The 27,650-nt window shown below is 33.5% G+C and overlaps 1 protein-coding gene across 3 annotated transcripts in view; it reads left to right on the top strand.

Moving 5' to 3' along the window:
- ERGIC2 (ERGIC and golgi 2) overlaps positions 1 to 26,660 on the top strand; it is a 43,821-nt gene extending 17,161 nt beyond the window's left edge. For 2 of the 3 annotated variants that reach the window (NM_016570.3, XM_024449009.2), the window contains exons 6-14: positions 2,327 to 2,367; positions 6,288 to 6,389; positions 7,535 to 7,630; positions 13,944 to 13,999; positions 14,835 to 14,933; positions 18,472 to 18,569; positions 20,730 to 20,892; positions 22,196 to 22,278; positions 22,794 to 26,660. In NM_016570.3, coding sequence (NP_057654.2) covers positions 2,327 to 2,367; positions 6,288 to 6,389; positions 7,535 to 7,630; positions 13,944 to 13,999; positions 14,835 to 14,933; positions 18,472 to 18,569; positions 20,730 to 20,892; positions 22,196 to 22,278; positions 22,794 to 22,856 — 801 coding nt within the window. In that variant the 3' untranslated portion in view covers positions 22,857 to 26,660. The remainder of the gene's footprint in view (positions 1 to 2,326; positions 2,368 to 6,287; positions 6,390 to 7,534; positions 7,631 to 13,943; positions 14,000 to 14,834; positions 14,934 to 18,471; positions 18,570 to 20,729; positions 20,893 to 22,195; positions 22,279 to 22,793) is intronic. The other variant, XR_001748741.3, reaches the window with a different exon arrangement.
- The last annotated feature ends 990 nt before the right edge of the window (positions 26,661 to 27,650 follow it).

Below are 27,650 nucleotides of genomic sequence, written 5' to 3'. Positions count from 1 at the left end.
ATGATTTAAGATGATAATAAAGGTTGCATCCTCATTTTTATGTTTCTTTTGGATGCTGAGAATTATTGTTTATGTATTATAATCTTGAATGTATCCTCTAAAAGTCACTTACACTGTTTCTCTAGCATTCTGTCCATATTCTAACTGTTGTGGTCACTCTCTTTTTTTTTTTTTTTCACATTTATGAGATGCCTGATGCTATCTTTTTTTTTCCCCCTACATCTCTTATCTTTCTAGCTGGATTTTAAGCTCTTGAGAATCATTAATTTCATTCTTTCATCTTTGTAGTTCTCAAAATGCATTGCAAAATGCTTTGCAGATTTTAGGCAATAGTGATATGTTAGAATTAAGCAGTTGGGACAGTATTGTTGACTGTTTTCATTGTAAACAGTTTCTGCCATCTCTTCTAGTAGTTTATGGAGCAGGAAAATTTTATTTAAATTGTTATAATTAAAAATTGTATCTTAATGAGAAAGTTAAGAACTTCAAAATATTTAATTGTATACTTTTCATTAGTAATATTTAAAGTGTTTAACCATGCTTTTAGGAAACTATTCATTCCTTTGTGCTAATTTATATAAAAGTGTTTAAGAATTATTTTTAATATAAAATTATTAAAAATATCATTTTAACTTAAAAATTTTTCACTCATTATTTTAATATGCACTCTGAATATTAAAAACCTAGCCCTGATAACTTTACTAGTTTACAAGCCATGATCATACAATATGCTATGATAGTTACTATTCTGCTATTTCTATTGCATTTAGTTACTATTTAAAGACAAGAAGAATTTTTAAAAGGTGGGAAAGTAAGAAATCTGACAGAGCTGAATTTGTGTATTGGTTGTTACTTACTATCTGTGATTTTGGAAAGTTTGTAACTTTTTGAGCTCCTGCTTCCTCATGTGCAAAAAGGGAAGAGGAGTAAAAAATTCACGAGGTGGTTAGGAAGGTTAAGTGAGATAATGAATTAGCATAGGGCCTACAAAGTAGTTTCTTTATACCTTTGTGCTAAGTAAACATTGTACAAAGAAGGTTTTGGAATTCAAAGGAAAAATCATATAGTCGCCACTGTCAATCATTTTATTTATACATTAGCTGGAGAGTAACTGCCAACAGCCTTATTGGTTTGCTGTGTTGTGTTTTATAGATGTTAGCATTTTCCTTATATGCTATAATGTGAAAAAGGTTTGGTAGCATGCTTTAGGCAAATTCATCAGGAGGTGTAATCAAAGGAAACATCAGAAAGATTGGGACAATTTAACTTGAAGCATATAGTTATATAAAACTTAGACATGAGGCTCTCACAGTTACCGGAGAGGCATGTTCCAGATTGATGTAATTAAATTAAAAAATCAAATCACAGAAGTAGAGCTGTGAACTAGGACTAGTAAAGTGGATTTTTTTTTTTTTTGAAACGGAGTTTCACTTTGTGTCCCAGACTGAGTGCATTGGCAAGATCTCTGCTCACTGCAACTTCCACCTCCCGGGTTCAAGCAATTCTCGTGCTTCAGCCTCTTGAGTAGCTGGGATTACAGGTGCCTACCACCAGCTGATTTTTTGTATTTTAGTACAGACAGGGTTTTTTTGTATTTTAGTAGAGGCAGGGTTTCACCATGTTGCCCAGGCTGGTCTTGAACTCCTGAGCTCAGGCAATCCGCCTGTCTTGGCCTCCCAAAGTGTTAGAATTACAGGCTTGAGCCACCATGCCCGGCCGAAAAGTGGATTATTGTTGCAAAATTAAATTGTGGATATAGCTACTATGAGAAGTTTGCATATTTTTCTCTGACTCTGCAAGTAGCCAAGTCTAACTTTGATCATGCCTAGATAAAATTTCTTAAGTAGTTCTTTGTTGATCAATGCATTTGGGAATTAACTGTGCTATTTTTAAACTCATTTCAAAAATTGTTGATTTTATTATTGTATTTTACCAGCAAGAATTTGGGCTTTGGATGCTTGAATATAACTCTGTATTTTTGTACCCTAATACTTGTGAATTTCATGCTAGCATCATTTAAATGATTTTAAGCCCTAGGATACCATTTTGTACATATGATAAATTGTCAACTTGCATATATTCCTGTAAATGTCGATAACTGTAACAGGAAAGTATTTGTGATTAGAAAATTTCTTTATGCTATTTTTCAGTAAAGATAGCACATTAAAATTTTAATTTGACTTATAGAAGTTGAATGTAAACCATGAATACTTGTTTTTAACAACACTTAAGTTTATGTTTCCTGCTCAAAGAAAAAATTTTAAATTATGATGTAAAAGCCAAGAGAATTTGACAATGCTAGTGATTATGTTTTCTTTCATTTCAGACAGTATTTGATCTTTCACCACAGCAGAAAGAGTGGCAGAGGTAATAAGAGAACAAAGTATTGTGGTCCATAGAAATCTAAGTCATATTTTGTCTATTGTAAACTATTTATAGATTAACACATTTCTCTAGGGATTTCTTTGGATGAATTCTTAGCAGAATTTGGTATATAATATAATCCTTACAATTTCAAAAACCATCAGATCTTAAGAAAGTCATGCATAATCTTTTCTCTGGTAAACTTTGATTCATAAGTTTTAGTTTTTATTTAAAATGGTATCAACTATTTACATTTTTTGATTACAAAAGTAATATATGATCATTTTAAAAATTCAATTTGAATAGAAATGATATAAAGCAAGATTGTCCAGACTGCGGCCCCACAGGAAGGCTTTGAATGTAGCTTAACACAAATTTGTAAACTTCTTTTTTTTTTGAGACAGAGTCTCACTCTGTTGCCAGGCTGGAGTACAGTGGCGCAATCTTGGCTCACTGCAACCCCCACCTCACAGGTTGAAGCGATTCTCCTGCCTCAGCCTCCTGAGTAGCTGGCGCACACTACAGGCACACACCACCATGCCCAGCTAATTTTTTGTATTTTTAGTAGAGATAGGGTTTCACCATGTTGACTAGGCTGGTCTTGAACTCCTGAACTGAAGTGATCCGCCCATGTTGGCCTCCCAGAGGGCTGGGATTACAGGCATGAGCCACTGTGCCCGGCCACAAATTTGTAAACTTTCTGAAAAAGTTATGAGATTTTTTTGTGATTTTCTTTTTTTTTTAACTGATCAGCTATAGTTAGTGTGTTTTATGTGTGGCCCAAGATAATTCTTCTTACAGTGTGGCCCAGGGAAGCCAAAAGATTGGGCACCCAGATACAAAGTAAATGTAAAAGCCCCCTTCTCTTTCTGTAAACTAATGCCACTGACTAGCAGTAATAACCAGTGATAAGTTTCTTGGGTAGCCTTCTAGACAGACATTTTCTGTGTATGTATATAATATGTATATTATATATATTTCTGTGTATATATATACAAAATTATGATAATTCTTACATATAATCTATATAATATATAGTACATAATTGTATATATAGTTCTTGTATATCATATATGAGTATATTATATATTTATAATATATAAAAGTTTATATATTCATTATATATTTTATAATATATCATATTTATATATTTTTATAATGTGTTATATTTAAAAACATATAATTATTTCTATACAGAAATATATATACAGAAATAAGTTGCTTTTTTCCACCTAACATGATATTTTGGATTCATTTCTATATATATAATGGTCTATTTTATGGATAGATTGTAGTTTATTTAATTGGATCCTTATTGATGCATATTTAGATTGCTTTTAGAATTCTAATATTAAAAACAATACTCAATGAACATTCTTGAACCTAATTCTGTACATGTTTGTGTGTGTGTGTATTTCTAGAAATAGAATTTCTTTCTCTGAGGATATTTAACATTTTGATAGTGCCTATATCCTCCCAAATTATTATTTCACTTATACTCCAAAAGGCTATATTAGAGTACTTGTTTCTGTACAACCTCACCAACAACAGGAATGCCTAGAATTTTTTTAAATGTATGCCAGTTTGATGGGTGAAAATTGGTACTATGCTTTTATTAATTAACATTTCTTTATGAATCAGTTGTGAGGTTTTTTTCCTTATTTGTATTTTTTTGTGAAAATGTTTGCCTATGTGCCTATTTTGCTTGGTTAGTTTTCTTAGAAGAATTATTTTTAAATTAAAGAAAATAGTACTTTGTTATAAGTGCTTCCGTCTCCCACCCCCATATATTGCTTTTTATTTTCTAGGTTATGTCTTGCACTTATAAAGGCTTTATATAGTTTAAGATTATTCCAAAAAATTTTTCTTTACCCGTTTTTTTTTCCCTAGTCCCTAAGTATATTCCAAGAGTCTTTCTCTTTTAATTTCCAGTTTCACCACTTGAATGTGGGTGAACAAAAGCACTGAATATTAGCTGTCTCTGGGCTCTTAGAATTTTTAGTAGAAAGCCATCCACAGATGAAATACTTTACTTTGATCCAGAAACATTAAAGTGAGATTTCTCCTTTCATTTAGAATTTTTTTCAATGCTCGAAACTAGTAATAAGTGGGAGAAGAGATTGTATTTTTACTATTAAGATGATATAAATTTGCCATCATAGTAGTTTTCTGCATACTTTCATGTGTGGAATATAGGCTGGGATATTTATTGGCACAGTGAAGGCAGAAATTTTTTTCATAAACACACATAATATATACATACATATACACGTATGTATAGTTTGTTGTCATCAAACCCCTTGATCACTGCCATGCTTCAAAAGTTGATCTCTCGAATTACAAGACACAAAAAAAGTGAAGATTTCCATTTCTGCTGGCATTGAATCCAAAGATTCAATGTCAAAGATTCAATGTCTTTAAATGTCTGAATCTGAAGATGGGATCTGGCTTCTTGAAGCATCCTAGATTATCACGTTCTGATTCTAAACATTATTAAATAGCTCTTGAATGGCCTAGAGATACCCAAGGTAGATATCTTCCTAACTAATGTGCATACCAAAATGTTCTTTACTTCTAGAATTTTCTAAGAGATTTAAATTTTCTCTCAGTTGGTGTTCTATAATACTTTCCTAAAATATTTAGGATCACAATTAATCTCTCTTTAACTGTAAATTTCAAACCCTGGACAGAACCTTTCTGGTTTCTACTTTTTATGTCGAGATTTCAGATTTATTTTATTCCAAACTATACAGTATAAATATGAGTTGTTATTTTACATAGGCCTGTTATACTAATTTTCTAGATAGATGATGCATAAGTTTTTAATCTTCTGCTTGCACATCTAGAAAGTACTTATTTTATCATTATGGTGGGATGGTAAAGTATTATGAGATTCACATTTGCTTTCTTTTTGTGAGTACCTATGTTTATAACTTTTTTCCAAGTTACATGTATGTATTTTTCTTTTAGAGTAGTTAGGCTCACAGCAAAATTGAGCAGAAAGTAGTGTTCCTATATACCCGTCCCGCTACAGGTTCCCCCATTATCAACAACTTGCATCAGATTGGATATAGTTGTTATAATCAGTGAACCTATGTTGACACATCATCATCACCATAGTTTACATTAGAGTTCGTTCTTGGTGTTGAACGTACATTCTGTGAGTTCTGACAAATGTATAAGGACATGTATCTACCATACTGCCATACAGAATGATTTCACTGCTGTAAAAATTATCTGTGCTCTGCCTGTTTATTCTTCCCTTCCCACTGTGTATAACATTTGTACTTACCAAGTTTGAACTTTACTACAGATGATTTGGAATATTAGTTATTTGAAGAAATAGAATTAAAAGAGATAAAATAGGACTACATCTAATGACACAAAGTTATTGCTGAAAATTGTAGGAGTTAACATGGCTCAATGGTAGAAGTATTGTAGAGAGAAAAATTTTTGTAGTGAAAATCAGTTACTTGTGGTATGAGTTTATACTGAGTAATGTACCATTTCAAGTCCATCAAGTCCATTGTGTAGCCCCTTATTTGTCCTACTCTTTGTATCTACAATATTTCATTCAGTGTCTGACAAAGATAAGAATTTTGTTAATTGTGCATGTATGCATGAAAGATGAATTGAGATACTTAAGTGAGTAGAAGCCCTACTTTGGTGGTCCTGATGGCACATCCATTACTGATGGAATCAAACAAGCTTATGGAGCTCAGCTATTAGACCTCTTAGCCACCCTGCCTCATTTGCTTTCAAGGAAATGACCAAAGAAAACTTGGTATGTTATTTTAGAATATGAAATCCTGTAATAATAAATGTATGATTTAACTAAGTCAGCTAAACATTGTCATTTTTGAATAAGTGTCAGCTCTCTTTGTGTACCTTTCTGTAGTTCTAAATTATTGCTTCTTATTTAGGATGCTGCAGCTGATTCAGAGTAGGCTACAAGAAGAGCATTCACTTCAAGATGTGATATTTAAAAGTGCTTTTAAAAGTACATCAACAGCTCTTCCACCAAGGTGAGATCTGTATTTTAAATGTGCAACTGTTTATTATGAATTTACTTTGACATAGTTAAAACTAAAGTGTTGGTTTAGTTTTCTGAATCTTATTTTTCTTAGGAAGGGAAAATAGAATCATTCTGTACTATAAAGACGCCTTTTGCTCTTAAATTTATAGCCTGTGATTTTGATCAGAATTATCACAAATATTTATTTGCATTTAATTTTCTTTTTTATGCGTGGTATACCCCCACATAAAATTATATTGAGTTTTAAGAAAAATTAGTTTCATTTACTATTTTGAGGATATATAAGCTTTGGTTAGAAATTTTGTTTTATTTCCCGTTTTTGTATTTTAATTAAAGATTAGAGGCTGGGCGCAGTGGCTCACGTCTGTAATCCCAGCACTTTTGGAGGCCAAGGTGGGCGGATCATTTGAGGTCAGGAGTTCGAGACCAGCCTGACCAACATGGTGAAACTCCGTCCCTACGAAAAATACAAAAAAATTAGCTGGGTGTGGTGGGTGCATGTATGCAGTCCCAGCTACTTGGGAGGCTGAGGCAGGAGAATAGCTTGAACCCAGGAGGCGGGGTTACAGTGAGCCAAGATTGCACCACTACACTCCAGCCTGGGTAGCAGAGCAAGACTGTGTCTCAAAAGAAAAAAAAAAAAGATTCGTGGATATTTGGAAATGCTATAATCATAAACATAATAAAAATATACAAGATTTTACATTTGCTTAGGAAGAAAATGTCACTGTCTCTTTGAATTTAGGTGGCATGCCTTTCCTTTACCTCAATCATGTTTCTGCCCTCCCTCCCTCTCCCTGCTACAGTACCAGAAATAAATGAAAAAAATATGTCTTTTTGGACTAATTATTTTGTTTTAGTCTTCTGTCACTGGACTTAGTCCTCTGGTTAGAGTTGAAGAACCATGGAATTTCAAATTTATGTAAATGTAATAGATATTAAATACTTTTTTCCCATTTTATAGATGTATAATTTTTATAAATGTCTAGACTTCAGGAAACTATTCTATTTTTAACATTTAGAATATTACCTAAAAAATGATCTTTAGGGATTTTTTTTTCTATACACATTTTTCTCATCATAAAATGGTAACTGTATTGAATGTGCTTTAAATAATATATCTTATTTTAACAGAGAAGATGATTCATCACAGTCTCCAAATGCATGCAGAATTCATGGCCATCTATATGTCAATAAAGTAGCAGGGAATTTTCACATAACAGTGGGCAAGTATGTTCTTTTCACTTACTGAAAATACTTTAGACAAAGTTGGAGCTTGGTTAAAAGTAAATTCTGGCCGATGGCTCGCGCCTGTAATCCCAGCACTTTGGGAGGCTGAGGCGGGTGGATCACCTGAGGTCAGGAGTTCAAGAACTGCCTTCCCAACATGTTGAAACCTCATCTCTACTAAAAATACAAAAAATTAGCTGGATGTGGTGGCAGGCACCTGTAATCCCAGATACTCGAGGGGCTGAGGCAGGAGAATCGCTTGAACCCAGGAGGCGGAGGTTGTAGTGAGCCGAGATCGCGCCACTGCACTACAGCCTGGGCGATGAGCAAAACTCTGTATCCAAAAAAAAAAAAGTAAATACTTTGCTAATCAAATAAATACAGCTAACTACTAAAGGCTTGCTTAAAATATTGTGTACATATATTTTTAATGTCTTGAGATTGTTGTCTGGGGCTTCAGTCTCAGGATAGAGAAGACTACTAACTTTAAAAACTACTTCAAAACAAAAGTAAAACAGTCATCTCATGTTTTGTATATTAAAGTAACTGAACTGTAGGTAAATATCAATTACAGCCTTCTACTTGCCAGGTTTTAGTGGCCAGAGAGCTCTTACCTAGACATTTCATTAATTTGTTCATTTTTTTTGGTATGTTATTAGGTTTTTGTCTTAATGTTTTGGTGGTCCTCATCAAAATGTAATTCCTGACTAATCCTAGATAAGTGTTTTGATAAAGTTAGAAATTAGCAGTGTCTAGAATAAAGTTAAATTAGGTAAAAGTTAAGGAAAAATATGAGCAGCACTCAGCACAGAAATTGTCATAAACACTTGTGAAATTTTTGAATGAATAAATAGATCCATCCATCTTTCCCTCCCTTCTTTTCCATATAGAGTGCTGAACTGAACAATTCTTTATTGTACAAGACATTTTTTGAGTACTTGCTATGTGCAAAGTACTGTGCTAGAAACTAAGGATAAACAGTGAAGAAAAAAATAAAGGGTTTTTGCCCTTTTTAATTTATTTTATTCCAAACTATACAGTATAAATATGACTTGTTATTTTAAATAGGCCTGACATTCTATAAGAAAATCCACACTTAAGCAGTGAATACATTAATAATTATTTAATTATAGTTGTATTGAGCCTGTAAAGGAGAAGTATGGCTGATAAGAGACTATTTAACAAGGTATTAAATGTACGCTGCAAGTCAGTGGAGACTTTATTGAGGAAGACCTTTGAACACTAGGAGAAGAGGAGGAATTTAATATATAAAGGAGGGAAGGGCATACAGCAGGAAAGAGCATGGCTGGAAGTTTATAAAATACATATAGAGATAACATTAGATTTCTATGAAAAAGTATTTCAGTATTTACAATACTCAGATCAAACATTTGTTTTTTTCCTCATTATCTCTTGAAATTTATGTTTTGTTGTTTTGTTACCATTACCCATCTCCAACCCAACCTGTTGCTGGGAACCTTGGAATGTCTTGAAATCTTAGCTTAAAGAAATTTAGCAGATTTTATTGCACCTTTGGATACAAACAATATTCTAGTCCACAACCAACTCAAAGAGGGAAATTTTGACAAATATTATAATCAGACTCTATATTATGTCCCTTTTTAAAATTTGTTTTTGGTCTTTTCACAATTTCACTTTCCTTCCCAGGTGGTAACTCACACTATCAGAGAGGCCAAATAGAAAAGCATTTGGTTCATATCTTGTCATCTCAGGGATATCCTGTAAACCCACTCCTAATTTTTAGTGTTACATTTGTCAAGTTCAATATTGATCTTTTTGAAGGTCTCATATTACCTCTCAGACACAATGTCAGTCTCAACTGTAATTTAAAAGAGTAATAAAAGGAACATAATTTGTAACACAATATGTATTTCAATATGCTTGAGCGTGAATACACTAGAAGACATAATGAAGTAGGCAGATGCTTGCCACTTATATGTAGAATTTTTAAGTGTATAATTGCTACAAATGCAGACTGAAACAGATGTATTGGCTACTCAGATATCATGAGTGACATTTCCGTTGATGAGATGATATTCAGAAATAGGAATACCTCTTTGTAATATTAAACAAAACAGAATATAAGCTTCCCTTAGTTTTCTGGGAAATTTAGTGTATATTAAAACTACAACTTTATATAGCTAAATGGGGTTCAGTTCTAGACTCAGATTATTATAATAGGCTTTTCATGTACATGAGTATCTCTTAGAACATTTGAAAGTCAGGCAAATCCTGGAATGATTCTTTTTTGTGTGAGACTGTCAATTTCATTGCAGGATGCCTTGTTTCTGTGGCTGTTGTCCAGTAAATCCCAATAGCAACCCCTTCCCAATAATTCTGACAACTCAAAATGCCTCTCTTCACCCCCCACCAATTTTCAGAACAACTTTTCCTCCACTGAAAGTCATTCAGGCTAGATTCTTGTCTGATAGGGTAGAAAATATCCCAGAAAAGAAACAGGTAAATTCTGAATATCCATCCTCCCTATGCAGAGTTTTAACAAGTGTCAGATAACTACAGTCATCTGTACTAGGGTGATTTAATTTGATTTTTAAATTTAATTTTTTGAAGAAGATGCTCACTTATGCTGTTACTTCATAAAATGAATACACCTGTTAACAAAAAAAAAAAGAAGGAAATATTATTTAAAACAGCTCTCTGTTCCTCTCAGAGTAAAATCCTGGGTGGTGAGAGAGATCATTGAAGTAAAATGTATAGGTTGAGCATCCCTTATCTGAAAATCTGAAATTCAAAATGCTCCAAATTTGGAGCATTCAAAATACTCCAAATTTGAGCATTGTCAACACGATGCTCAAAGGAAATGCTTAAGAGTGTTTCAGATTTCAGGTTAGGGAGGCCTCCCTGGCAAATAAAATGTACATATTCTAAAATCTAAAATTTGAAACTTCTGATCCCAAGCATTTTGGATAAGGGATATTCAACGTGTAGTATTGTAATTTGGTTATTCAGAAAAACTTTGTTGTTTGTTTGAAAATAATAGTAGGAACACTGTTAGACTGACAATATGATTGGAGCTAGTAATAATTTATGACAGTAGACTTTCTTTTTAGTAGTAAGCTTGAGGTAATACACTTGACTGTGAACACAGAAGAATTTACGAGACCAAACTACCAATCATTCCAGTGCATCAGGAAATGCTTTATTGAGCAAGGTTTTAGTATACTTTATGTTGAATGTCAGTTAATACATTTCCCTAATCATTGTATTGCCTTTTTTAAAGTGCCTGGTGTTTTGCTAGGTAACACATAGAACAAATTAAACAATGTTTAGACCTACTAGGGCATATTCTGAAACTTGACAATGGTAACAGACAGTTAATTGGTTATAAAGAAAGAAGGCTCCTTTATGGAGAGTTTCTATTTTCAGTTTTTTAGTTAATTGCTAGAATTAGTAACTGGGTAAAGCAGGATTGTGATAAAGGAGATCTTCAAGGTGATTTTTTAATTTTTTTTAACCAGGAACAGGGAAGGATAGTACTTATTTGTAGAAGTGTAAAGGTGCTAAAAGAACAGGTTAAATTTGAAAGATAACAGTGTATAACAGAACAAAGGTTTACTGCAGTGGTAGGCAAACTACAGTTTATATACCAAATCCAGCCTACTACCTGTTTTTGTATGGTTCATGAGCTAAGAAGGGCTTTTAAATTTTGTTTATTTATTTGTTTGTTTATTTTTTTGAGACAGAGTCTCGCTCTGTTGCTCATGCTGGAGTACAGTGACGTGATCTGGGCTCACTGCAATCTCTGCCTCCCAGGTTCAAGTGATTCTCCTGCCTCAGCCTCCTGAGTAGCTGGGATTACAGGTAGCCCACCACCACGCCCGGCTAATTTTTGTATTTTTAGTAGAGACAGGGTTTCACCATGTTGGCCAGGCTGGTCTCGAACTCCTGACCTCAGGTGATCCACTCACCTTGGCCTCCCAAAGTGCTAGGATTACAGGTGTGAGCCACCTTGCCCAGACATGGTTTTTACATTTTTAAATATTTGAAAATAAATCAGAAGGGGAGTAATATAATACATGAGAAATATATGAAATTTAAATTCGTGTCCAAAAATAAAGTTTTATTGGCATATAGCCATGCTCATTTGTTTATATATGGCTGCTTTTGTATTACAGTACCACAGTTGAGTAATTATGGCAGAGACCATATATGACTCTCTCATTACTTTGTACTTTGGTGTACTATGAATTGTAGTGATGCAGTTATAATTTGACAGCATTAAAAGTGCTGTGTGTATTCCTGTCCTGCAACATTTTATTTATTTATTGTATTACTATGTTAAAAAAAAGAAATATGGACTTCAAATGTTGCATTTTTAAAGCACAGTGTACCATGGATTATTTGATCAAATTTGGCTGCAGAACATCCTGCGTATTAAGCAATGACACTATTTAATTGTGCTAAAAAGAATACAGTATCTGTTGATGGTGCCAGATTGAGCATTCATCACAATATTACCAACCTATAAAAAAGCAATGATCAGAAAAATTAGAAAATTAAAAATGGAATATCCAAACACTGTAGAATTTTATCATAAAACGTGAAAATGAAGCTGTAATCTTTAAGTGCCTCATTGTTTAGCAAGTAAGGAAAGCCATCCAAGTATTGATAAGTCTGTGAAGCAATGTTTGACTGCCAAAGCTAAAGAAATGACTCCAGAAAAAATAAATTTGCTTTAGACAATCAGATGACTAGCCTTCTTCAAGAAGAGTGTTCTGGTAGATGAGGACATTGAGAGCAGTATCTAATAGCCAGTTAAAAAACAAGCCAGGAGATTTTGAGTAGTTCCTAAACTCTTGATAAGTGGACAGATGTTACTAGAACTGCTTATTGTTTATTTGAGGAATCAATGCTGAATTTGAAGTGATTGCAGAATTAGTATCTATGAATCGCCTGCTTTCAACAAAAACTATAGGCAAGAATATTTTTATAGAAGTTGAGAGAACACAAATTCAGTACATCCTAAAGTGGAATCTGGTATATGTTACAAATGTATTATAACTGATGGTGGTGTGTGGAGCAGAAAAAGGCTTACTTGAATGCATTTCAAACCTTGTGAAAATGTAGTGTTTAATGCCTATTGCTTTGCAGAAAATATTTGAATTGATTTTGTATTTTAAACTGGTGTGTCAGTGGTAAACTTCATTTGCTCTCCTGAACCTAAATATTGACATTTCCATGGTTTTTTTTTGTCAGATATAAAAACTGAATATTCCATCTTGCCCTACTACATAGCAGTTTGATGGCTTAGCAGTATATTTTTTGAGCTCAGTGCCAAGATTGAATTTTTTCTGAGTGAGAGAACTTCCATCAGTTACAATTATTGAGCAATGAATATTTTTGGAAATTAAGTTTCATGCAGACTTAATAATGTTTAATGAATTTAGCCTAAAAGTATAAGGGAAAACCAATATTTATGAAATTTATATTGTAGTAAAGTTGTTTCAATGACTAGTGATTTTGAGTGGTTTCTTTTAATTTTCATGCCTTGATAGCGTTTGCTGTCAAAAGTTAAAGCAAGGATCTGGACTCATTCTCATACTTGAATATATTTTCTGACCTTTCAAACTATAGTTCCAGAACTTCAGACATTGATGCAAATACAAAGGAAATTTCCATGTTTCAAATTCATTTCACTGCACAATTGAAATTTTGCTTTAATTTAGATTGGAAGTTATTAATCTGCAATATAATAACATGTTTATAAGTAAATAAGTATTAGGAGAATAATCTACTGGAATTCTATAAATGTCTTTCAAGCAATGAATATGCTCAACACATACTCGTGGATTAATATTTTCAAAGATGAAATATTTAAAATTTCATTACAGATCATCATCATCAGATAAAGATTTATGGTCAGTTTTGAAAATAGGGAACATTCCAAACCCCAATTAAACAAAGTGTAATCTCCCTGCAAAACAGTTGTATTACAAAAAAAAGGACTCATTACTATTATATCAATGAAAAGTTTGTGAAAATTTGCTTTTTCTCATTATGTAACTACATAATATACTTGATTTTGCATCATGGTCCACAAAGCCTAAAGTATTTACTATCTGGCTCTTTGCCAAAAATGTTTGCCAACCTCCAGCAGTTTATTGCATTGCTGAGATGAGTAGACTTGTCTGCTCAGTCAATAGGCCAAATGCATTCTTATGTTATTTTGTACTAAGAAAAATTATATAACTTAGGGAAGATCCAGTTTCTGATTTTAATTAATTATACATATAAATGGTACTACTTTAATAATTGTTTTTTCTCCTTTCAGGGCAATTCCACATCCTCGTGGTCATGCACATTTGGCAGCACTTGTCAACCATGAATGTAAGCAGATTCTGACTTTTTTTCAGTAAAGATGTACTTGAAAAAATATTATTTTTAAAAGTGCAGATATAGTGTAGTTGAAAGTGAGCTGTTTTGAAAACATATTCATCCAAAGGAAAAAATAAATTTTTAAATTGATTTACTTTAATCTGCATTTGTATTTGGTCATGGCTCTGAGTTGCTGAGGTTAGGGAGGAAAGCCTAGTGTACTTTCTATAACTTTGTACACATTTCTGCTAATTTTTAGGGATAAAGAAAATAATATATTTGCAGTTTATTTCAATTTGCAAATTGAAATATGGATGTATAGACATGTATAAAGTATTCAGGTTAGTTTGGTATCATGATTGTCTTAAGACTTAAGTTCTTAAAGTCTGCTTTAGAGGACAAAACAAGTAATGGATTCCACAGAAAATTAGTTTGGTCACATTTAGCAATAGTGTATTAAAAATATATCTGATCAGTTTTATTATATGGCCACATGGCCATCATTCCAATTCTAACAATACCGTCCTGTTAACTATATGATGATTTGGAAAAGGAAAGATGTATATTTTTGGCTTTCATTATATATTAATATTTTCTAGACGTTAAATTGTATATAATTATTAAATTTGAGATATAGCATTTTGTCAGAATTTATTTTATACATTTAATTCGCATATATTTACATTTATTTTTCTCAAAGTATTGTGGCTTAAAATACTGTATTATTATCCTTGAAGATTTTAAACATTTTCATTTGAGAATAGATAAGGATGTAAACCAGTCTGTACCAAGTAATTTTGAATAATATAATTTCTCTGCTAAGTTGTTTTTATTTTTTGCCTTTTAGCTTACAATTTTTCTCATAGAATAGATCATTTGTCTTTTGGAGAGCTTGTTCCAGCAATTATTAATCCTTTAGATGGAACTGAAAAAATTGCTATAGATCGTAAGTATTTAATAATTATTGTTGGATTTTACATGTAGAAAATTTTGCTTATAACCTGAATATTAATACATTTTTAATGTCTTCCTAACTACTGTGTAAAGATAATCTTTAAGTGGTTGGTGATTGAGATGTATGTGAAGAGAATTTGTCCTAGTAGTGGATGAAATTTGAATATTCAAAAATGAGCCATAGAACAGAATAAAGAAATTCAAGTTAAAAGATGAAGGAATTAAAAGGCAGAAGGAGTTCAATTTAAACAGTAGAAATAGATGAAAGGTTAATACATTAACAGGGCATAACTGCACTTTTTTGTATTCACCAAAGAATAAGAATGAAAAAAAGGTTCAACATTATGAGAAGAATTTTCTTCTTTGTATAATATAGGTTCAAAGTTTTAAAATGCATATATATCATTTCAGAAACCTCTCTGGAGAATTTTACAAACACCAGAAACCTAGTTATTCTGGAATGGTTTGGTTATTAACATAGAAGGAGTACATTATAGCACAGATAACCTTTTTAAAATGTTCTATTTAACCTTCTGCTCCATTTAAAGTATCAAGTCTATCCAAATATGGAAAGATCATTTTCTTAGTTTTTTAGAAAGTAGTCTGTTCTCATGTTTTCTGCAGGTTTTTGATTGCCTCTTTCTAAAATAGTCATATTATATACCATGTTCCAGCTATTGGACATTTTAAGGACTTCTGAAGCTTGTTCAGCTAGTAGGAATTCTATCCTTTGTAAAATTGTAATTAAGGATTTAGTTTTTTATTAATTTAAGTAGATTTATTAATATCCTATTCAGATTTATTCATATTCTTTACTTTTTAGCAGTGTTATAATCATATATTAAAGATGTTTAGAATTTAGAATACTGATTTACATTCATGAATATTTTATGTTCATGTGGGAATGTTTCACTTCAGGAAACCTGAGTGTACTAAATTTAGAAATGTGTGGATGGAAACATTTTGAGATTTATAAGCTTTAGTCAGTATAATCTAATCTGTAATCTAAGCATATGTTAATTCTCCTCTGAAATGCATTGCATGTTACCTGAGAGATGCTCATTTGGAAACATACTGGTCGATGCTTTGTTTCAAGATGCTAAAATGAACTACAAATTTTTGCACAGAAGCTCTTCTAAATATAAACAGGTCAATTTTCAAAAAGCTGTTTTTAAGTGTACTTCTTTATAAATTCAGAGAAACTAAGAGGTATTTAGAGTCATATTCTGAAATGCCGTTAGGTGAGTATCATCAGGTTTTTCAAAGCTTTAAAGCAGTTTGTATACTTTTCTCCTTCGTAATATATGTTTTTTTCAGCCTCTTTTTCCAAAAAGAAAAAAATCAACATTACATATCTGCTATGTCAGGTAGCTATCCCTTTCCTGATGTTCTCCAGAAGTATTGCAGGAGTTACTTAACAATTAACATCTTTAATGCAGTACAGATTTGGATAAACAAGGTAGACATAGTCCCTGCCCTTCATAGAGCGCACGTTCCTATAGGGAATTAGATCTTTAGGTAATAAGTGTTAGGGCAAACGGCTCTGAACAAAATAAAGGAGATTGCCTATGATATGAGAAAGGGCATGGAAGAGGCTGTGGTATTTGAAAAAAACTTGAGTGAAGTAAATAAGTGAGCTAAGCGATTATCTTTTTGAGAGCATTGCAGGCAGCTTTATTATTAATGAAGCCGGTAGAAATAAAACAACCTATATGTGCTGCCACAAACTGGACAACCTAACTCCATACTCCTCCTACCCTGCTGACTTCTCAAATGGCAGGGATGGCTCACTTTCCTAATGGTAGAAGGTGGTTATGTATGTCTTGAAGACAGAGCTGTTTAAGAGAGAGAATGCCTATACTATCTAATTGAGTGGCTTAGCCACACATGATTACTTTTTGCAGATGAATCATTCCTTCCATGAGTGAGAGAGAAGTGGAGAGGAAGGTCAAAGCTTTTACTCTTTTATGTACAAAGGGGTGCAAGCTTCTATTTAAATCTGGGAGAATTTTTTCTGCTTAAATTTAAGACCATATTCCCCTTGAGTGGAACCGCCTGGGTTCAAGTTCTCACTCTGCCACTTAATAACTTGGACTTTGGCCTGTTTCTTAACATCCCTGTACTTGAGTTGCTTCATCTCTAACAAAAGGATAATAAAAACATTTACTTGCTTCTCTAGTTGAATCTATGGATAGGTGTATCTAATTATACTTTTTCTAGAGAATTCTCTAGACCCGGAGAATTAACATGTTTTATATTATGTGAATGGGTAATTGTTTACAGTTAATTAGTAATTGGTAATATTCTGGTATTTAAAACTTGTGTCAAACTTAGAGATGCCTAATGACTGTATAAAAATGATCCTTTTGATTATACAGTAACCCCAGGCCATCATTGAGTAGTTTCTTTAGTTTTCTTCCTACTGTAATATCAGTTCCTTGTATTTATTCAAAGGCTAGCTAATTTGATTTTGGTTTAGTGTATATCTTAAGATATTAGTAGAAACTGAAAATATGTCTTGTGGTGGTTATTCTCTTATAATTTTATTTTATTCTTAGTTTCTGTACTATAAAGAAATGCTGGCTGGGTGCAGTGGCTCACACCTATAATCCCAGCGCTTTGGGAGACTGAGGCAGGAGGATCACTTGAGCCCAGGAGTTTGAGACCAGCCTGGGCGACATGGCAAAACCCTGTCTCTACTAAAAATGAAAAAAATTTAGTTGGGCTTGGTGGCGTGCATTGTAGTCCCAGCTACGCAGGAGGCTGAGGCGGGAGGATTGCTGGAGCCCAGGAAGTCAAGGCTGCAGTGAGCCGTGATTGCGCCACTGCACTCCAGCCTGGGCGATGGAGTGAGACCCTATCTCAAAAAAAAAAAAAGGAAAAAGAAAAATGCTACTTTTCCATAATTGATAAAAGGATGTTAACGATTTTAAGGAATATTTAACTAAGTCACCAATTCATTTTTTTAAACATCTGTGTTGCCCATCTTATGCTTGCTGAGAACTTGTTTTACCGAGTATAAATATGTTGCTTTCATTGGTTCTTTTAAAAATTTTTTTTGTTAGACATTAAGTTGTATGTAACATTACATTTCAGATTAAATGTTTTTATTTTTTATTTGTTTGAGACAGGTTCTTGCTCTGTTGCCCAGGCTGGAGTGCAGTAGCACAATCATGGCTCACTGCAGCCTTGACTTCCTGGGCTCATATGATCCTCCTGCCTCAGCCTCCTGAACAGCTGGGACCCACAGGTGCATACCACCATGCCCAGTTAATTTTTAAATTTTTTGTAGAGACAGGGTCTGGCTCTCTTGACCAGACTGGTCGCGAACTCCCAGACTCAAGTTCGAGACTGTTCTTGAACTCCCACACTCAAGCAGTCCTCCTTCGTCAGCCTCCCAAAGTGCTGAGATTACAGGTGTGAGCCACCACATCCAGCTAAATTTCAGGTTAAATGTGTTTAATAGAAGAATATATTTGGCAGTAGTTTTGTTGCTACTGAATTGATAAAAAGTTTTTTTTGTATTCTAGACAACCAGATGTTCCAATATTTTATTACAGTTGTGCCAACAAAACTACATACATATAAAATATCAGCAGACACCCATCAGTTTTCTGTGACAGAAAGGGTAAGTTGAATCCAACCGGTAAAATAATTTGGTGATTTTTTTAAAAAAGCATTTTAAAGTTTCCTGGCTACAAAATAAGGTGGTGTTTTACTTGGTGTCTTCCCTCATTTAAAAATCTGTGGAAGTTTTGAAATGAATTAACATTTTATTTTAAATCAGAAATATGTCAGAAATGAATATTAGTATATTCTAAAGCAATAAAAGTAGATATTTAAAAAATCTGAAAGGTTTTCTATTGCATTAAGACTTAAAATTGTTAAATTGTGATGGCCTTAATTATTTTATTCTTAATGTCTTAATTTTATAAATGTTTTCTCATAAATTGATATAAGCAGTTCTTGATCTGGCAGCAGATTCTTTGAATTCTGTTACTTATTTATTAATAAATGTACTACCTTCTCTGGGCATACATGGTTATCATGGATTAGATAGCAAATTTAGAGGGTTTGCCTTCCTAAATTAATGCTTTGTATTCATCTGATTGTGATGAAGAACATTCCACTACCTCAGGGTGGTATGGCCATATAAGTAAATACTGACAGTGATGAGCAAAGTTTTGGAATTGGACAGTTTAATAGATTTCTTATCTACTTTGGGGTCATGTTTTCTTATTTTTGTGTTTGAATGGTGAATTCAAACACTTGTATCCAGAAGAATTCTAAGGCAAAATTTAAGTGCTTTAAAAATTTTGCTTTCCTTTATATAGTGTTTTCTTTTACTAGCCTTATAACTCATGATGACCATGCCCTCAATAATTGTGGAATTTTTTTTTTTGTTCTTATGAGATTAGGTATTGGAGTTTTTAGGGGTGAAGTGTCATGTGTCTATAGCTTTTCACTTGGCTTGGGAGAAAGTACAAGTTCATATAACTGCATATATATGTATAGGTATGTGTGTATATACACTCACACAAAGAAACTAGGTAAAGTTTATACCAGAACATATTGTGCTTTTCAACATTTCTTTAAGGAGTAGGGAGATTCCATTTCTCACCTGTAAGATTGGCAAACACCTCAAGGCAATACATACAGTTGAGAAGACTTTGGGGAAAATAGGCAAACATGCAGTGCTATGGGGATGCAAAGTGGCATAATCTTTGAGGAAGGTAGTTTAGCAGTATCTGCAAAAGGACCTATGCATTTATCCTTTGACTCAGCAATTGCACTTCGAGAAAGCTATTCCAAAGATACGGTGGGCAAAAATATAAAAATGTGTGTTTCAGGCTATTCGTTGCATTGTTATCTGTAATAGTAGAAGATTAGAAACAACCCAGATGGTACATCTACACACACTGGAGGAAGATGCAATTGTTAAAAATCAAATGAGAAGGATTTCTATATACTGATAGGAAAATATCTCCAGGGTATATTTTTAAAATAACAAAGCCAAAAATACATATGTAATAGAATCCCAGGGCATTTGACTGTTGAAGGATGTGTTTATACTGATAGGGTGACTAAAATAGTTTTTTAACTTAAAAAAGAATGGAGTAACTGGGGTTGGTAAAATGCAGGATAGGGGGTGGGAGGGAGAGGGCTGACATTCATTAGTCCTGGAACCCAAAGTGAATCATTATTAGTCTTTCATTATGTATATGCCCTGATCCCTAAAACAGTTTCTACCCTTATAGGTAGTGACAATATATTTATAACTCAGCATGATATTGAGCATTTTAGAGCTTTAAGATGTAGTCACTTTATTGGAAACTTGATCAGTTGGCTTATAAGGCTGTATTGTGCTAGTAATAGGGAAAGAGTTTTGTAATGCCCTACGTAAAACTGTTTTAATTTCCCTTGGTAGTAGTTAACCTCATTATTTGTATTCCTAAAGCTTGCAGTTTAGTTATAGCATGAGGAACATGCCATACATATTTGTAAGCTCTTGAGCTCAGTAGAAAACTTGTATCTAAGGTGACCTTTTTGAGAAAAAAAGAATGATTCTGCTCTTTTGATAGTTTCAAAAGCTAACCACACAAAGAATACAAAATAATTTGTCTCTGAAGAGCTTAGTCTAGTAGGACAGTTCATAAGGAAATGTGGATGTCCTTCTTTTACAGTAGGGCTTCAGGGCTTAATATTGAATGTATGTAAGTAACCAGATGACATGAATTCTGTTTCTCTCTTCCTCCTATTTCTCCCCTTCCTTTTGCCTCCCTTTTAGGAACGTATCATTAACCATGCTGCAGGCAGCCATGGAGTCTCTGGGATATTTATGAAATATGATCTCAGTTCTCTTATGGTGACAGTTACTGAGGAGCACATGCCATTCTGGCAGTTTTTTGTAAGACTCTGTGGTATTGTTGGAGGAATCTTTTCAACAACAGGTTAACAACCATTTCCTTTTTGTCTAATTTCTGAAAGTGTTGCTTATACTTAAGTTGCTTCTTCTCAAAGGGGCAAGAAGTATACAGATTTTCATGTTTCGGTGTTTAAATAGCTTTTGCTTTAATTACAAAACTCCAAAATTATATTGACTAACCAGTAAACATAACTAATTTCATTGTATTCAATGATGTAAGGTAGATTATATAATGGTGAGTTGGAAAGATCCTGGGTGTTAACATCAGATTGAAGTAGAATTGAATGTAAGTTCTGTCATTTACTTGGTGGTAGCTTGGAATAGATCACCTACCTTTTCTGAGGTTTTCTAATCAGTAAAAATAGCAATAATAATACCTAATTTGCAAGTGTGCTATAGGATTAAATATGAAAATGCCTAGAAGGCATTTAAGACATTTTTAACTGTACAGTATGTAAAATCATATGTTATAGTACTTTGAATTATGCAATACATGAAACTAGATTTGTAATCAGTAACATGTTTATGATTTTTGTCCTGAGATCCTGGAATTCGCTAAGATTATTTGTCGAATTGTAATGATGAAAATTGGGAGTTAAGTACAATAGAGAAAAAGGAAACAATTCTATTTTCATCTTCAGTCCTTATTCAGTATTAGATGGAGCTGGGTAGTTTATTATACTTAGAATCATATTTTTAAATGAATGAATAGCTTTTCTTTCGAAATTCTTTGTTAGTGCTTCATTTCAATCTATTTAAATTTGTGTTGTTGACATCATTTATTTTCCAAAATTGTATTGGTGTGGGAAAACCTTGAAAAGATTGTGTTTAGGCCCGGTGCAGTGGCTCATGCCTATAATCCCAACACTTTGGGAGGCCAAGGCTGGCGGATCAACTTGAGGCCAGAAGTTCCAGATCAGCCTGGCCAACATGGCTAAACCCCGTCTCTACTGAAAATATAAAAAATTAGCCGGGCATGGTGGTACATGCCTGTAATCCCAGCTAATTGGGAGGCTGAAGCACAAGAATTGCTTGAGCTGGGAGGTGGAGGTTGCAGTGAGCCAAGATTGCACCACTGCACTCCAGCCTGGGCAACAGAGTGAGACGTCTCAAAAAAAAAAAGATTGTGCTGAGATCGTGAATTATGTGGCCTTGTGACTTTGAAAAGAAATCCATTTGTTTTAAAATCTTTCTTGATTATTTTTAACCATGGAAGTGAATAATGCAAACTGCTTTGTTTTCTTCCGTAATCTATTCCATTATAGTTATTTATTCTTAAATAACAGTTTAGGAAATAATTAAAAGCATAAACTTATTGTTTATTACAGGCATGTTACATGGAATTGGAAAATTTATAGTTGAAATAATTTGCTGTCGTTTCAGACTTGGATCCTATAAACCTGTCAATTCTGTAAGTGGTGTAGTATACATGGTGCTGATCTCTAAATCTTAGAATCATTGTTAAGTCTATGAGCCAGTCATGGTGGCTCACACCTGTAATCCCAAGACTTTGGGAGGCTAAGGCGGGAGGATCGCTTGAGCCCAGGAGTTTGAGACCAGTCAAGGCAACATAGTGAGAGCCCCATTTCTACAAAAGATAGAAAAAATTAGCTAGGCAAGGTGGTGCAAGCCTGTAGTCCCAGCTACTTGGGAGGGCACAGTGGGAGGATCACTTGAGCCCAGGAAGTTGAGGTTGTAGTGAGCTATGATCGTACGTACCACTGCACTCCAGCCTGGGTGACAGAGCAGACCCTGCCTCAAAAAAGATAGAGATAGAGAGATAGAGAAATAGGGGGAGAGAGAGAGAGAAATAGTAGCTTTTGGTTACTAGAAAGGATTGCCCAAAATAAAACCTTGTGTTTAGAGGAAAGAGTATAAGGAATAAAACTAATTCTTTGGTCTTTTTTTCCCTCCTTTTCTCCTTAGGTTCCTTTTGAGGATGGCCACACAGACAACCACTTACCTCTTTTAGAAAATAATACACATTAACACCTCCCGATTGAAGGAGAAAAACTTTTTGCCTGAGACATAAAACCTTTTTTTAATAATAAAATATTGTGCAATATATTCAAAGAAAAGAAAACACAAATAAGCAGAAAACATACTTATTTTAAAAAAGAAAAAAAAGGATAAAAAAACCCAAACTGAAATTCTATATACGTTGTGTCTGTTACAAATGTCGTAGAAGAAATCATGCAGCTAAACGATGAAGAAGCCCAACTGGAGTGTTGCTTTGAAGATGACGCCTTCTTATATTTTCATAGCAAATGGGTGGTATCAAAATCAGACATTGCTTCTTGCTGATAAAAAGCCTGAAGGAAATAAGTGAAACTACATCTATGGGAAAAAAAAAAACATTGAGAAGTGCAAATGTTCGCATCCTTTTGTTTTTAAAAGATATGATGTCAGAATAAAATGTGGAAAACATACGGAAAACTAGTCTAGACTTTAAAGAATTGTGATCAGGTCACATTGTTAATAAAAAAAAAAAACGGGCTAGTCCCTATGTTATAGCCATATTAATGTTAAGCCATATTGACAAGACCAGTTATCCAATAATTTGGTCTTAAAAAGTAACTACTTTTCTTTGAACTCTGGTTATTGACTTATCTAACTGTTGAAGATAGAGTCTTAGAAGACTAAGGTAAATTCTCACAGGGGCAGATATGTAGGTGTTATGTAACTAGGGTGTCATTCACAAATGGTATAGTAGAATCTTATACACGGAAAAGAAAGCACATTTTTTTAAAAAAGATGCCAAGTTTTTTAATCTAATCATTATATTATTGGTGTATTTTGGGCAACATAGGGTGAGTTATAAAAAGATCCGCTACTGATAGTGAAAATTACCGGTTTGTAAAACATTAAGAGAAAAAATAGGATATTTTATACATGTGGTGAGTGGAGAACAGGGTAACTTTAAATGAAAGTGTAAGGCAAATTGTAAGCACCACAAGATATATCAGATTTGAGAGGTGCCATGTTAAACATTGTCCATTAAACTATAAAACTGTATTATGAAGTATTTGCATTCAGGGTGTCCTGAATATGATTGATTCTGTATTAGATTGTGTTCTAACTTTCTTACTATTTAAGGATTGGTTCTAAATCTTCACATTATAAAAGATTAAAAACAGTGAGAGGGAGCTATCACACAGGTACTATTAAAAGCTGTATTTGGAATATGTGTACCAATATCAGTTTTCCTTTTGTAGTACTGAATGGCAGTAGAAGAATCAGCAGCCAATCCTCAAAGTTTAAATCATTTAAGGAAATGGGGAAACAAAATTCCAGGTAAATAACAAGACTGAAAAACTAGATTTAAAATAGTGGTTTTAGAAAACAGGATATCACAAGTAACAGTTTTTCAAATGGATTTTTTTAAAGATAAATTTATGAAAACAGGATAAACAATATAATGGAGAGAAGGAGAAATAGTGATGGGTCTGTTTTGCAGTAAAGTTTATGCAGAATGACGTTTTGCAGAAAATAACAGAAGCATCACTTTAAAAAATATATCATTAAGAGCCATGACGTTAACTGATGAAAATAAGTGATATAACATACTTTGAAAGATTTTTAAACAGAAAATTCTGAATCGTGAATGAGCCTTCTCTAGGTTTTAATTTTTTTTCTTCAAATTATTTCCAACAAAGTTTGGCTATAAACTAACACCATCTATCCACAGGAATTTTAATAGGAAAGGATTAGAATTGTAGACTGATTGTTGGTCCTTTAAGTATGCTTGGAAGAAAATTCAATCGAGTTTCAAGGCTTTTTCTAAATGGGAGGGAGAACAATATTGATTTAGGATTATTTTCTTTCATTTAGGATTAGAACAGTTAAGTGCCTTTAAAAAGGACTTTAAAAATTATTTTGATACTTATATATGATTTTTAATTGTTTTCGTATTTTCCAAATACCATATTAAAATTTTAATGAAATTTATCTCCTATGAAAGGAATTTCTTTAAAGCAAAATTCTGCTTTGCCTTTGATTTCCATTTTAAAAGTTAAAGGCTTCCATCTGAAACTCCTCAAATAGAGTCAGATTTTTGGCAATGGAAGTATTAAAATTCCGATCAGCCCTTTGGACGATGAAGTTTACCTGCATATTAGGATTTGTTAGGAGTTTTTGGCCTCACCAAGTGATTCTTTTCTATTGCAGAGAGCACTTTACTCACCTACCTGTTATGCAACTTTCCCTATGCCTGGAGGTGCCTCCAGCCAGGATACCCTACTTTGTTACCCAATTCTCCTTTTTGTTTTACAAGAGTATTCATAATATCTATATGTTTATATTCCAGACTACATATTTAAAAATGAGATCTCAAATTATATGAAATGGATTTTTAAATACTGTGTTTGCATACATTGACCTATAAAGAAGATTAAATATTTAGGTGAATAATTCCCTGCTGCAGTATTTGTACACTTCAGACTACCTCTTAGGAAAAGCTTAACTTAGTATTGCAAAATTCCCTTTCTCTTTTTTTTTTTAAGAGATGGGGTCTCGCACTGTTGCCCAGGCTGAAGTGCAGTGGCATGATTGTAACTCACTGCATCCTCGAACTCCTGGGTTCAAGCAATCCTCCTGCTTCCATCTGCTGAGTAGGTAGGACTACAGCCATGCACCAACAAACCTGGCTAATTCTTTTTCATTTATATAGTTAGTATCTTGCTGTGTTGTTCAAGCTGGACTCCAACTCCCGGACTCAAGTAATCCTCCCACCTTAGTCTCCTGCATTGCTGGAATTATAGGCACGAGCCACTGCACCTGGCACCCAAATTACTTCTAGTTCTCAAGTTAGATGATTAATATCACACTTTTCTCATGTATGTTTTATGATAGCATTGAATTTTTATAATTAAAAATTTACTAATGCAAACAAGATTTACAGTCTTTAATACAATCTTAATTTTGGAATTCATGAAGGAATGACTAAGTTCTAATTTTTTTTTTTTTTTTTTTGAAACTGAGTCTCGCTCTGTCGCCTAGGCTGGAGTGCAGTGGTGCAATCTCAGCTCACTGCAACCTCCGTCTCCCGGGTTCAAGTGATTCTCCTGCCTCAGCCTGTTGAGTAGCTGGGACTACAGGTGCGTACCACCAAGCCCAGCTAATTTTTTTATATTTTTAGTAGAGACGGGGTTTCACTGTGTTAGCCAGGATGGTCTCAATCTCCTGACCTCATGATCCGCCCACCTTGGCCTCCCAAAGTGTTGGGATTACAGGCATGAGCCACTGCCCCTGGACAGATCTAATTTTTTAATAGTGTAAGAGAGATACACTGTGCATTCCATCTATGTCCTGAGTTAGTAATTCAAGTACCAAAAAGTAATTTAATATGAAACTCCTTGAAAATTCAGAGCTTACACTTGAATTCAAAATGCCTATTTTTGATTGTTTAAAAGTTACTTAAACCTGAGCTTTAGGACCTTTAAAATCTCAGCATGCCTTTTAAGCTAGTACTTTTCCTGTTTTGAGCTCTAGCAAACCTTCAGCAAGCCAAGGTGGTAGCCCTTTTTCAACACAATCAAAATAGAGAGGTCACCAGTTGTTTACTACCTTATGGTAAAATGCCCGGATCAAGATCCATGTATCCCCCCCATATTGTGATGATGCAATCAAAGCATAGTTTTTTTCTACTTTCTGAAATATTACTGATGAAATCACTTTACATTTAAGAGGAGAAAACAGACTGCCTTGGATTTTTTTTTTGTCTTGAGAGAAAAAACAAAATATTTAGTATTGCAAGCATAAACATTTGGACTCAATAAATGACAAATTATGAAACTTTTTTTGTCTTTTTAATACTAGGAGAAAATTAAAATCATGTACCCCCAAATAAGCCTCAGTTCCCATATTTAAACTTTTTTCTCATAGGAAAGCTACAGGAATTTTAAGATATCACATGGTTACATTTGCTTTTCTTCCAGATGGAGCTAAATTGCTATATGATACAGGGTTTATTTTATATTTCTCATATTAAAGATGAAAAAGTGAAAATTGAGTAGTTGACTCAAAATTATATGTATATATATATATATGTTAACAGTTGAATACAAACAAGATTACAAGCAGTGAAACATTCAAATAGTTTTGGCAACTCCAAATATTTTGTGTTTCACAAAAGGAGTTAGGTTAACTTTTCCAAATATAACTCATTTTATACTATTTTAATAAGGAGAAACTTAAGGATGAGAAGGCATGAGGAAAAGTATACATTAGTGAAAGCTATATACTAAAGCAGACCTTCAACAACAGCTCATAACTAATAAATGCTTTGTATTTTGTTTTCAAGCAGTTATGTAAATCAATTTGGTGATTTCTTACACTGTACTTACATTTACTTGACCCAAATTGCCGTATCAATCACATCTCCTATCCCTTTTGCAGTTCCAGGTTGGAATCAGTATTTCAAATAAAGTAGGGACACATCTAAAATATTTGTGTATCGGTAAAGGTGTTTCTGGCTATTTAAACTCAAGCATCCTTTGCCACAGTAGTATCTCCGTTTTGCACGGTACTACTGTCTCTCAAACCAGTTACATCTGAAAACCAGCAATTACTAGTCTTAGTTAATTACAAAAAAAAAAAAAAATTAAGCGATCTAGGCAGTGAGCATTTTTCCATACCTTTATGTGGGCATATGAGAATCATTACTTCTTACTATAGGCAGTTGCTTATGTTCCCAGACATTATTAGAATAGCAGTTCTAGAAGAGTAGCCATGTGGAAATTTACAAGTGATTCTTGTAAACTTTGAAAATTATTGATGTTTTTG

The sequence above is a fragment of the Homo sapiens genome, chromosome 12 (assembly GCF_000001405.40).
Source record: "Homo sapiens chromosome 12, GRCh38.p14 Primary Assembly".
NCBI classification, from domain to species: Eukaryota; Metazoa; Chordata; class Mammalia; order Primates; family Hominidae; genus Homo; species Homo sapiens.
This window is presented reverse-complemented; position numbering and strand designations above follow the sequence as displayed.